Source organism: Homo sapiens, chromosome 10 (assembly GCF_000001405.40).
Source record: "Homo sapiens chromosome 10, GRCh38.p14 Primary Assembly".
NCBI lineage: Eukaryota > Metazoa > Chordata > Mammalia > Primates > Hominidae > Homo > Homo sapiens.
This window is the reverse complement of record NC_000010.11, coordinates 34,165,291-34,178,098: the sequence shown is the minus strand read 5'-3', so window position 1 is coordinate 34,178,098 and position 12,808 is coordinate 34,165,291. Positions and strand designations below refer to the sequence as shown.

The 12,808-nt window shown below is 39.2% G+C and overlaps 1 protein-coding gene across 8 annotated transcripts in view, besides 1 other annotated feature; it reads left to right on the top strand.

The window, feature by feature from the left end:
* The window catches only part of PARD3 (par-3 family cell polarity regulator), a 705,736-nt gene that overhangs the window by 637,198 nt on the left and 55,730 nt on the right, over nucleotides 1-12,808 (top strand). The window lies entirely within an intron of this gene.
* Nucleotides 1,057-1,558: an enhancer, noted in NCBI's record as "H3K4me1 hESC enhancer chr10:34465469-34465970 (GRCh37/hg19 assembly coordinates)". NCBI's record gives its function as "activates a minimal SCP1, AML or CMV promoter by ChIP-STARR-seq in primed H9 embryonic stem cells {active_cell/tissue: H9 hESC(primed)}" and the evidence as "EXISTENCE:reporter gene assay evidence [ECO:0000049][PMID:30033119]".

Here is a 12,808-nt window from a genome sequence, read left to right as displayed (position 1 = left end):
ACTTATGTCAAACATAAACCTTTCCTGTATATATGTTATTTTTTTACAGCTAAGTTCAGTAGAAAATCCTTATGCAGACATTGATATGTATATTTTAGGTTATGTTTTCCTGCAATAGTATGTCTCTGGACCAGTGATAGTAATTTGTGTCAATAACTTTATAAAGCGAGAAGCAGTTGAAGAAATTAGAACGGCTGAGGGCCAGAAGTCCTCAGCAGGGAAAAGAAACACACGTGCAGCAGATTAAGGGGAAAGGGCCAAGGAAAGCGAGGACCCCCACTTTCTGGTGTCTCTCTGGTAACTGGAAGGGCGGATATGAGCGGTTCGCAGGCACCAGTCTTTAAAGCGCCTGTGATGTTCTCCTGACTGGCGTGGGCTTCCTGCCCTTTCAAGAGAACTCCTTGATCATGCATTCTACTAAAACGAGGCAGCCCTGGGAGGCGAGTCTTGCGTTCTAATTGCCCAGTGGGTTGAGGTTTGGGGACAATAAGTGGATATCAAGGAAAGGTCAGACTTGAAAGCTAGCAACCCAGTGAGCAGACCAAATCGGAGAGAACGAAGAATGACTTTTTTTCTTCTTCTTAATTACTTTGTCTAAGGTAGAGGGTTTCCTTCTTAAACATTTTGAAATCTGGCTGATGAATACTTGTCAAACTGATTTGGGGGGTATTTGTCTAATCTTTTATCTTATTCCATCAGATCATGAATGAAAATGAAAGCTCTGAAAGAGTTTTGCTCCCAATGGAAAAAAATAATAGCACAGGAGCTGCATAGGGAGATGAGGAGGGGCTGGAAAAGTCATGGGGTCAAAGCGGTGCACAGCACATGGGTTATTTTTTGCTACTACCTTCCACATCTGCTGGGCTATGGTGAAATTTGAAATATTTTATATTTTTTAAATATTATATATCCTTTTGCTCTTTCTTGCCTTCAGCGTACCTGTATATGTTAGCCTTAAATTGTAAGACCAAGACATTTATAATAAAAGCAAAATAATAGTATAGGTTCCTTCAATGAGAGGGTAAATCATCCCATCCAAACCAACACACACAAACACAGACCCCACACCGACACACAAACACACATGTACACCACACCACACACACCCCGACACACACACATACCCTGACACACACACACACACACACACAACCTGCTTCTCCTAAGGAAGGACTTTAAAGAGAAAAACACTCTTGATTGTGCACAATTACAAATCACTTTCCATTGACAATTTTGTAACCAAGGAAAGCCCTGGGAGTTCAGTGGCTTTGTCATTTAGAGTTTTACCATTGGCTGACTTTGATCTCCACAGCACAGCCTTGCTTACTCCTTTGCAAGCTATATTTTTTGTTTGTTTTTAAGTGTAGTCATTTTCTGATCTGATTGCACCAGCCTTTCCAAAACCTAAGTCTCTTAACCCAGAAGTCCAGGCCTCTTTCTAATGGTGCTGGAGGAATGATTGGCAAGCCTGAGATCCGGGAGTGGAGATTATAGGGAACGGTACAGGTGGCAGGAGCTGCCCCAGAGACAAAGTCAACACCACTGGGGCCATTATTTTCGTTGGAAATGCGTAAGAAAACCATTCCTCAAAGTGGAAACAATAAACACATTATCTACTTCCACCATCAGCTAATTGAGGCTGTCTCTCAATAAACAAGTGGATTTTCTGCTAACAAGCACATCTGTCTACAACTTTAATCTCCTGTGCTTTTCTGCCCTGTCCCCGTTTTATTTATACTCATTCCAATTTTTCTTAATAATGTTACATATTAGACTTAAAGTCTCTCCTTTTGCATCCTCTTGGCTTAGAAGTCAGTGACTGCCATTTTATTGTAGGACAATTTTTAAAATTGAAATTAAAATTAAATTTGTTTAACTCTTCATTTTCTTGGCTCTAATACGTCAAAGAAGGGAGCCCAAACGCATAGAAAACCTAGTAATTTTAGTGGCATGATAATAGCCTCCTTTTTTTATACTGACACCTTATGGTAAAAATCATGTCAAATTAGAATGATCACTTTTAGTTCAAAAATATGAAATAAAGTTTTAGAGAAACATATTTGCTAAACTAATTACCTACTAATTTATCTATTTGTGAATTGTTCTCAGTGTGTGAAGAATGCTGAGTGACTGAAGTCACCATTTGAAAATTGTCTCAATTCAGTAAGAAGGGAAGAGATTGTTATGAGTATGATGCAGGTAGCTTAGGAACGTAAACACCTGTTCTGTTTAGCAATATAAGGGGGTTTGAATAAACTGACATATGGGGATTTAACACTTAAATTGTTCATATAATTTTACTTTAAAATTCTCAGTCATCCCATAAAACTGATTGTTTTAAACTCCCTTTCCTATATCCTATAATATTCACTTTGTATTTCCTTCTAATACAAGGGAAAGTACTTGCTTTATTAGCCTCTTTAAAATCCAGAACATTCATTTATTATAAATTGTCTGATACTTGAATGTCTAAATAAAATATCCCATTGCTTGCCTAAGGAATATTTTTCCCCAGGTGAAAATATATTTTACTTTATGTGACTGTGATGATAAAATTGCTTAGTATACTTTTTGAGTCAAAAATTCATGTAGACAATTTAAATGTGCAAGTTTATGATCCAGTCTCTGGGGCCCCTGCATTGGCATATGGAAGCATATTTAAGTTTATTTTTAATTTCCTTTATGGCTGGCATGGTTTCTTTGGGTTCTGACACAGGCATAAGCACACACATGTACACACACACTAGCAGAAAGCATAAACAGGGCTTTCCCAAGTTATCCAGGCAATTTTCTGAATGAGTTGCAAAACTGAAATTAATATCTATCTTTAGAGTCTTCAAGGACAAAAGCACATCATCTGCCAGCCCTGCTCGATGCTTAGCTCTCCATGAAGTTAATGTGGGTTTTGTGTATATAAAGGCAAATGATTCTTTTTTACCATGTGCAGTTAAATCCCATAATGGTACATGCTCCGATTTAATTAGTTCTCATCATATAATGGGATGCAGCCAGATTGATACAATTAATAATGATGTTAGTAAAAACTTCCCCATTCTAGATACGAGGAACTCCAGGTGTCAAAATAAGCATGTATTAATTTTAAAATACAATGAATTGGCCTTAAGAAGAAAAAAAATACAATGAATCTTAAATTAATTTTGAAACGAATTGTATTATAAATAAAATAACAGATACTGTTTTTCCTGTGATAACTAAAAAGATGGTTTCCCATTATCAGTGTCATTATTTTTTTCCAGTAAAATCATATATACAACCATAATATAGAAGAACAATCAAAACAATGTTAGTTTACTAGTATACATTTATTTTAAGGTCAAAGTCACCACATTTATTTATTCTTAATATCAGCCTTTGAGAATATTGAGGCACCTCTGTAGACTCATAGAATTCTGAGAAATATTGTTTGAAAAATTATCATCTTCTGGATAGAACCCAAGCTCTTTGATGACTTCCTTACTTCATCCACAACCTAAATTTTTGCCTGATACTGTCCCTTTTATGCCAGCCAGACAGGTGGCCTCACTGTGCACTAAGCACCAGGGTTTCAGGACTCCACGCCCCCGACCTTGAATGCTCTTCCCCTCTTTCTTACACATTTTTCCTGACCTTCAATGTGTAACACAAGCATTTCTTTTCTGTAGTGAATACAGTTTCATAATATCTCTTGCATTGGGATCCTTGGCTCTGTAAACTACTTACCTGCTTATGTGTGTACATCTTATCTTCCCATCTAGATTGCAAGTGTCTTCAGTAAAAAGTAAGGGAAAAACACTTGCACTCTTCTCAAGCTCAACCTAACGCAGTAGTCATGCATATAGTTGTTAATTCTCACCGGATGAATTTATGATGGTAGTATCTTTCCGAAAGTCTGTTTTGAGCAGCCCCACTAGAATAGAGCACCTAAGTGTGTTTCTAGTTGGCCACGTGTATGCTGAAGTACATTTTCCTAATGAAGCATCGTTATGCTTGGTGACATCCCTGACACAGAGGTTTAACGGTCCATCCACCAGTCAGCACATGTTGCTTTCATGACCAACCATGTAACATGCTGATATGAGGAAATCATATCAGATCTTGCCTTGGGGGTGCAGCAGTGTCTAGGTAAAGCTCCCTTGGTGATAGGGACCTAGGGCCTTGGGATTTGGCTGTAGCAAAACTCAAAACAGAGATGGGAGATGATAGCTAGAATTCCTGGGGCCACATTCACCAGTTAAACTTCTTCATTTGCCTTGGGCATTTGGCAAATGAAGCCAGGAGCTCTGATGTGGAAAATTAGGGCAGTGACTGGGTGGCTTATTCAGTAGCAGGTGTGTAAGCTGGTTTTCTAGAAGCTGGTGATGACCTGCCCTTAGAGAGGCAGTCAAATCAGTGTCTTCCTCTTAGAAAAGTGAGAATGATGGCTGGGATGTTGGAGGGTTTGATAAACACTTTTCCTAGCTTTGCCATTGTGATATACAGGTGTGGTATATGTAAAAGTTAGTTTCTTCTATACTTCAGTTTACTCAAGAGGAAAATTATAGCATTCTTCATCTTAACAAGATCCCTGTAAAGTTGCATATATGAAAAATGGGCCAGGTGGAGGAAAAAAGTTACAATATTTACATCAAGCCTGTGGATAAGTATTACATGTGTTCTCAGATCATTGGATGTTTTTGTATGCAGCTCCCAAAGTTCATTCCTGTCCTCAAACCTTGATCCCCACTGACAAACAGAACTGCATTTATTACAACCTGAACACCACAAATCCTGGTACCGTGGACATGGGTTTGCTTATTGCATGGCCTTGAAATATTACAAGCTGAGGTTTGCCAGTACTCTGGTTATTCAGGATGTACAGTTTATTTCACAGTCAACCAGGAAGCCATGTTGCAAGACTTCGGGGTTTTTCGGAAGGAGGAAGACACAGCCGATACCCGCACAGAGATTCAGATGTAGTTGTGAAAATAAGGCATCCATATGTGCAAAATTAATGCCTGCAATAGGGCTAGACGATTCCTGACTAATTAGTCATGCGGTAAACAAAGAAGTGCTTGAATTCAAAACAGGCAATATCTCTGATGTCTGAAGTGATTTGGAAGATTTCATAAAAGGATTTCCCGATGGAGTAGGATATAAACTAGTAGCAGAGCAGGTAGTGATGAATATTTACTGTTTCTTATTTGTTTTCTCATTGTTCATATGTAATAATGAATACATTACTCATTACTTCTAATCAGTGAATATTGTTATGTAAATTTCACAGCAATTATCTGTACCTTTTTAGCAGGATATTTTAACTCCCATTTATGTCATTTTGCTTGGGTGGGTTTTTTTTTTGTTTTTTTTTTTGTTGTTTTTTTGTTTTTGTTTTTGTTTGTTTTTTGTCGCCAAATGATGAATCTCAGAAGATTTGTAACAGAGCATAAACTGACTTGTGCAGTGAGTTGTGACATACAGCATGGGGGATCTGAGTCCTTGCTACTCAAAAGGTGGTCCATGCACAGCAGTCTCAGCATCACAGACTCTCACACCCCACCCCAGACCTGCTGAATCAAAATTTGCATTTTTAAAAGGTCCCTAAATAACACACGTGCACATTACATGGAAGAAATCACTCGTCTCAGATATTTGCATTAAGCCTTTAGTGTTCCATTCTCATTCTGTTATGTTGGAGCTTTTTATAAAATTGTGAAGGTGGGTGTTTAATCTCTACAGATGTAATTTTCTCTGAGCATGACACATTATTTAGTAGAATGAAGTTTTATAGTACTATGGATGAGTGATTCTGACCGTAGTTAAAAGTTTAGTGAATACCTAAACTATTTTCCCAGCACTTGGAGTTTTTCAAAACTCAAGTCATGTTTTGGAAAACACTATTTTCCCTTTTATATCTAAGCCCATATGAATTCAATTTTGTGGAAAATTTAAGCCACATGTTTCTGATTCGTTTACACTTAACCCTTGAGAATGTTGTGTTGCAACAGCAATTGCCTGTCCAAAAAAATCTCTTTTTAGTAAATCTTTCACAAGGGTAGAGAGATTGGGAAAAAGAGAAATGGGAAGAAGTCACTGAAAAGACCCAGAGAAGTTGGGGGTTGGGTTGAGGACTCTGAATTTTTTTTTTTTTTTTTTTTTTTTTTTTTTTTTTGAGATGGAGTCTCATCTCTGTCACCCAGGCTGGAATGCCGTGGCTCAGTCTTGACTCACTGAAACCTCCACCTCCTGGGTTCAAGTGATTCTCCTGCCTCAGCCTTCTGAGTAGCTGGGATTATAGGCACACACCACCACACCTGGCTTATTTTTATATTTTTAGTAGAAACGGGATTTCACCATATTGGCTAGGCTGGTCTTGAACTCCTGACCTCAGGTGATCCACCCTGCCTCGGCCTCCCAAAGTGCTGGGATTACAGGTGTGAGCCACCGCACCTGGCCTGAGGACTCTGAATCTTGATACAGGACTGTGCAGATTGTATTTGTGAATAACTTCTTTTCTGACATCTGAGGGAGGACAGGAGGGGTAGGAGGACCATGTAGTCTCATGCGTTGAAACAGTGGACGCACAGATCCTGCAACATTGTCAAAATCCATGTTTTTACTAAACATACATTAATATTTCTTTCTCTTACTTCTACAAGTTAAATTAATATCACTTTGTGGAATTTTTGGTTTTGGGCTCCAGCAGAGATCTCGTCCATATTTAGTATTAGCCAGCGTCTTAGCAATGTTGACAAAAGGTGAGAGGAAAAATTGCTGAACATGATGCTGCAAAAGCCTCTCTCTATGTGTGATGAACTGAAAAAGGCAACCTCGATTATCTTTTTTGAGCGTTTCAGTTTGAGCTGATGCATAACCAGGGAATGTAAAAGATCCGTTAACCTTCTTTTTGCCTTTCAGTAAAGCTTGAGTTTTAGCTTGTCAAATTATACATTCAATGATTGTATGGATACCATCTTTTTTGATGGATGGATAGTGTGTATAAACGTGTGTGTATACATGTGAGACTATATGTCATGAATAAAGAGTGAGTGTTTATGGTGGAGGAAAACAATGATCAAATTAATCATGTTTTCTATTTAGACATCTATCCCTAAATTTAGTGAGTTTGTTTAGATAAGACGACCTGGCTTGATTACAGCTCTGAGTAGCCATTGGTAAATGAAAGAGCATTTGAATTCCGCGTCTAGCACATTATTCCAGGGAGCCAGCAAATACATATTCATATGACAGATGCACTAATCAAGGCTGAAGGTCTTACTTAAATATTTTAAAAAGCAACCTTGGCAGTAGAAGGCAAATAGAACTAGTCTAGATGGTGTTTTTGCCAGTTTCCCTCTTGCTGTAGGCTTTCTCATAATCCTCTTTTGTTGTGACATGGAATGTCTTTAATCATGCCATGCCCTTTATCTAGAAAGATGGCTTTTCTCCCCCTGCATCAGCTGCCTCTTTCCTTCTAGGATCAACCCAGTGTCTGTCTGTGGTCCTTCCCTGGGCCCCTCTGTCTAGGGTCAGTGTCTACAATCTGTGCTTCCCACACACTCTATGCTTACCTCTATCCTGATGTTTGTCACAGTGGTATATAATTAACTGTTTACATGCCAGTCTTCCCCAGGGTAGTCTCTGTCTTGTGCATCTCTGTGTCTACCACCTAACTCAGAGGAGGCACTCAATGAAGTTATTGAATTAATAGATCCATGACTGAAGAAGTTTCCTAAGGGCCAGGCATGGTGGGCCACACCTGTAATACCAATACTTTGAGAGGCTGAGGTGGGAGGATTGCTTGACACCAGAGTTCTAGACCAGCCTGGGCAGCATAGCAAGACCGGTCTCTACAAGAAATTTTAAAATTAGCTGGGCGTGGTGGTGTGCAACTGTAGTTCCAGCTACTTGGGAGGCTGAGGCAGGAGGATCTCTTGAGCCCAGAAGCTGGAGGCTGCAGTAGGCTATGATTGCACCACTGCACTCCAACCTGGACAACAGAGTGAGACCCTGTCTCAAAAAATAGCAACAACAAAAGTATCCTAAATTAGCTCTGAAAAGCTATAAACGTCTAATAATGTCAAACTTGAGTTTGTGGATTGAGTATATGTTAAGGATTCTGCAAGTGAATCTAGTGTTGTCAGCTCATGTCACACAGAAGCTGAGCCTTGCTTCTCTGGTTACAATCTGGGCTCCTCTTTGCTGGGCACCCTGCAGATACATCCTGCAGGGCAGGGGAGGCTGTCTAAAAGAAGCTGGTGGCCCCCTGTGGCCATCATTCTTAGAGAGAGAACCCCAGGCAGAGGTATCCAGGGAACCTTCATTCAATTGTCGGAACTTAATGCCATAATGCCTTAACTGTGGTTTCCATGAGTCTATACGTGCCATCTTTCACTCCATTCTTTAGGTTGTTGAAACTGTATCCCAGTTTTAAAGACTTTCACAGATGACATCTTCATCGTTTCCTTCTCTAACCTGTTCCATCGTGTGTTTAATAAGTCTTTCTGTCAGAAAGGTATTCTTTTTCTCTCATCTAAATCCCCACATGCCCATTTTTCTCCATTTGGTCCCTAGTAGTGAGGAGGAACAGCTGACCACCTCAAAGTTTTCTTCTCTGTCCATCCCCTGGCTCATGTATCATCCCCTTAGGGTTTTCAAGTTTCTCATTATATTTGTCAGTAAAACTAAGAGATGAACTTTCAACTCCAAGTTTATCACCAGAATATCCAGCTTCTTTTGTCATCTCCTGCTCTCCTGCGTGTCTTCTCCCAAACTATTTTCTGTTTCCTTTTGTCACCATCATGGAAAACGGAACTTATTCTTTCACTGTGCTCTATATTTTATCTTCTTGTGCAATTGTAAGCATCTTGAGAGTAAAGATTGTACAGATCTTCTTTCTATTTCCTGCAATGCACAGCACATAGAAATTGAATTTCCTGGCAGCTGTAACTGTCTTTGATATACCTAGCCCCGGTTTGTCTGAAATTGATCAAGAAATGTAGCCAGTAAACTTAATTCCTATTCAAAGGGGAAAGTGTGTACTGTGTACAGAAGAGGCATTTTACATAGAGAAGCTCAGCACCAAAATCTAATGTGCAAAAGCAAGATGCAGAGCAGAGAAGATTCTGTACTCTACATTTGAGAGCTCTTTATTTGTCAACAAGGCAGCAGATATTTCTAGGTAGCGTTGGTGCAATCCAGTATAGAAAGTGGATTTGTTGGTATTACACATAATTAGGAAGCAGGAACATCAGTAATTACTGTGAGAGGATTTTGTATGGCATAATTAATGCCCTCAAACTATTTAGAAATTCTTAGATGAAAGAAAATACAGAAGTGGGAATTTTGGTGTTGAAAAGACAAAGGCAAACTGTGTTGGAAATATGTTACCAAACATCATGTTTTATGAGCACAGATTGGCAAAACATCAGGACACAGCTGTTGATTATAGCTGCTCTTTTCAGTAACTGCCTCAGAGCCAATGAATCCTTCGCGGGGAGGGCCTGTCAGGACATATCAGAGTGCAGCTCCTCGCCCTCCCAATGACTTACCAAATCACACGCCTGCCCTAGAGAGACCCACCAGTGTCTTAGGAAGTATTGGCTAAATGGAACCACATAGCAATGTGTGGCCTTGGATATTTAACATCAAAATCATGCTTTGGCAAGACATGTTGGCATCACTCATCAACAGGCTCTCAGTTCTCTGGATTAAAGGCAAAAAATAAAATAATCAAAGTCACTTTAAAATTAGTGACATGTTTTATACTAAGATAATTTTGCAGAAAAACTGCCATTTTAAATCAAAGTACGCAGCAAGGGAGTGATCTACTAGGCTTTCATATCAAATATAAAACTACCACTAAATAACTGTTTCTGAAACTTCATGTGTAGTTTATCATATATTAAATTATTAACATTTCTGTTGGAGGAGGTATTTTTCATAAAATATTTAAGCTTCACATCTCAGAACACTATTTCAACAACAGATACCAAAGCTATAAAATGAATGTTACAGTTCTATCAAATATTCAGCCTTTTCATTAAGGAAAAAAAGAAGAAAAGAAAAAAACCATATTAAGCCATTACTATGACACGACCTTTGCTCAAAAAAAAACTCATGTTTCAACATAACCCTCTTGCACCCCTGGGAACATGAAGGCCAGAGGTCACCCTTTTTTTTGTTCATGGTAGTCCATGATTTGGGGACATAGGGTCAGTGGATATTTCAATTAGTATCAAGAGTTAATTATTGTATCAGAGGACACAAATGAGAAGCTATCAAAATAATTTAATTAGAAAACAAATTAGAAATTAAATACATCTTATAAAATGACCTTCCATTCCTAGGGCAGAGACACGTTCAAGCGTAAACAAGTTATTCTGGCTGAAGTTGATAGAATAAGCTTAGCATATATCAAAGAAAAAACTACCCTTAAGCAAAACGTTTTTCTATTTTATTCGGTTCTGCTTTCCATATGCGTTCTCATATTTTTTTCATTTCAGATGTTCTTCCTTACATATACCTAAATATTACCTTTTGCCATTTTCTACTGCTAACCACAGAAGTAACTTCAGGACTTGAGGGTTTTGGGGGCTTTGGGGTGTTTTTTTTTTAATGTTTCATATTTCTTCAGAGAAGGAAAAAGTCTTGTCATTTATGGAGCACCTTTTCACGAAAACCACGCAGTGCTGTTCCTAGTGTAGACCATTAAAGTGAAAAAGCATTACTGGCAGACTAATTGTGTATGGTGTAGCATGCAGTCTATCACAGTAACCCATCACACACCAAAATGCACATGCCGGCAGACCCGTGCAACGATGGTTGATGTTCACAGTGACCCTGAGGTGTTCTGTGTAATTTTGAGCTAAGGATACTTTATTATAGTCAAACTTTTTGGAGGTAAGGTCTATATGAATACTTATTAGTGAACAGCATATAGTTGGTCATTGTGGGTAAGTGGGAGATTTCCTTGACAGGTTATTCCCTCAGACACACAGACCCAGGCCCGTAAGCGGCAGATTTAGACAGCAGAAAATCCAAGCTCGACGCTGCAGCAGGCGTAACTCTTTAGTGGTACAGCAGGTTTACATCATTACTGCCCAGACAAATTGGTCATGCGTCTTTAATTTGTTCTCACAAATCACTCCCTTCACTAGTGTGATAGTTTTGTTTTGCAAATAGTGACTCTAACAGAGTGTATAGTTTCAGATAGAATATTTGGCATGTTGATGCTGAATCATGCCAGCCACCTTTCCTTAAGGAGAAATGGAGGAAAAAACACACCTTACAACAATCTTTAAGGTTCTCGTTTAGTTGGTGTTCTTAAAAAAGAAGTATTTAAGGAGAATTATAGGTTGGCTATTGTGTGTGTTGTGGGGGTGCTTGCTTGGTGTTTTGTGAGTGGACACTCATCCTGGAAGAAGGAAGGGGCATCGGGCAGTCCCAGCCAGGGTACATGGGTGTAGAGTCCTTTCTGAACTCTTTTTTTTTTTAGACAGGATCTTACTCTGTTACCCAGGCTGGAGTGAAGCGGCATGGTCATGGTTCACTGTAGGCTCAAATTCCTGGACTCAAGCAATTCCGCCTGCCTGCCCCCGCCTTAGCCTCCTGAGTAGTTGGGACTATAGGCTCACCACCATCCCCCAGCTAATTAAAAAATATATATTTTTTGTAGAGACAGGATCTCACTGTGTTACCCAGGCTAGTCTTGAACTCCTGGCGTCAAGCAGTCTTCTTGCCTTGGCTTCCCATAGAGCTGGGATTACAAGTGTGAGCCACCTCGCCCAGGCCTGAGCTTTTTTTAATGCACGTGAGATTTCTGGTGTTTGCTTATGTCAGGGTCAAATGGAACTTTGCCTTGAGACTCAGAGAAAGAATTAACATCCATCAAGACTTAAGAAAGCATAGTCCATGCTTTGGAACACACCAAGCTCTATTGCTAAATTTAATTTTGTTTTCTAATTAATTTTTTTCCAATAGAACAACTTTTTCAAAGCTTCATATTTTATCAGCAATAAAGTACTTCATATCTGTAAGTCCAACTCAGTGAATCTGAGGGAAGGTTTAGGGAAAGAAAGAAACAAGTGACTGATTTTAAAAACAGAATAGCGATAGCATTAACCGATAAAGGGATAATAGAAATAGAGGAAGGTTAGTGAGAAATATAGCTCTTTCTTGTATATGTATATTTCAAAATGTTGTCAACATATTCAGGTGAAACACTTACCAGGTGATTAGAATAATGGTTGTGTTTTTTAGATGAGGTAGATTTCACTGCATGAAAATGACCATTGATATGGGATATACCAGCCAATGAATGAGAACGGAACAAACAAAGAGATGTAAAAGATGAGCAGTAATTTGGGTTGCTCCTCAACAAACATGGAAAATTAACGTTTTAGTCAACAAAGGAGAGCCAGCAGGGTCAAGTTCTGCAAGAAATGTGAAGACCAAAAACAGGCCACTCACTCTATTAAGCTGTTAGAACATCATTTGAGAATGCAGTGGGAGCTTAAGGCCAAATTGTTGGGTGTTGAGAAGGCAGAGAGGGGTGGCACTGGCTCTGTGCATTAGCCTTGTGCAAGAACAAAGCGGTTTTTCCTCTTGGGGCACGAGGACATTTGTCTCCCAGTGGCACCTTGCAAAATGCTAGACATTGAGGAAAATTCCAGTAAACACATGGTTCTGGCTCTTAAAATTTCGAAGTGTCCTGATTTTAATATAAGAATGTTCTGGCATGCTAGAGATAGTGATGGCAGGCCACAGTAAAATTTCTAATATCCTCCACATTCAAAAGGGAAGTGAAGAAGCTGGCCAGCTCAGCAGACAC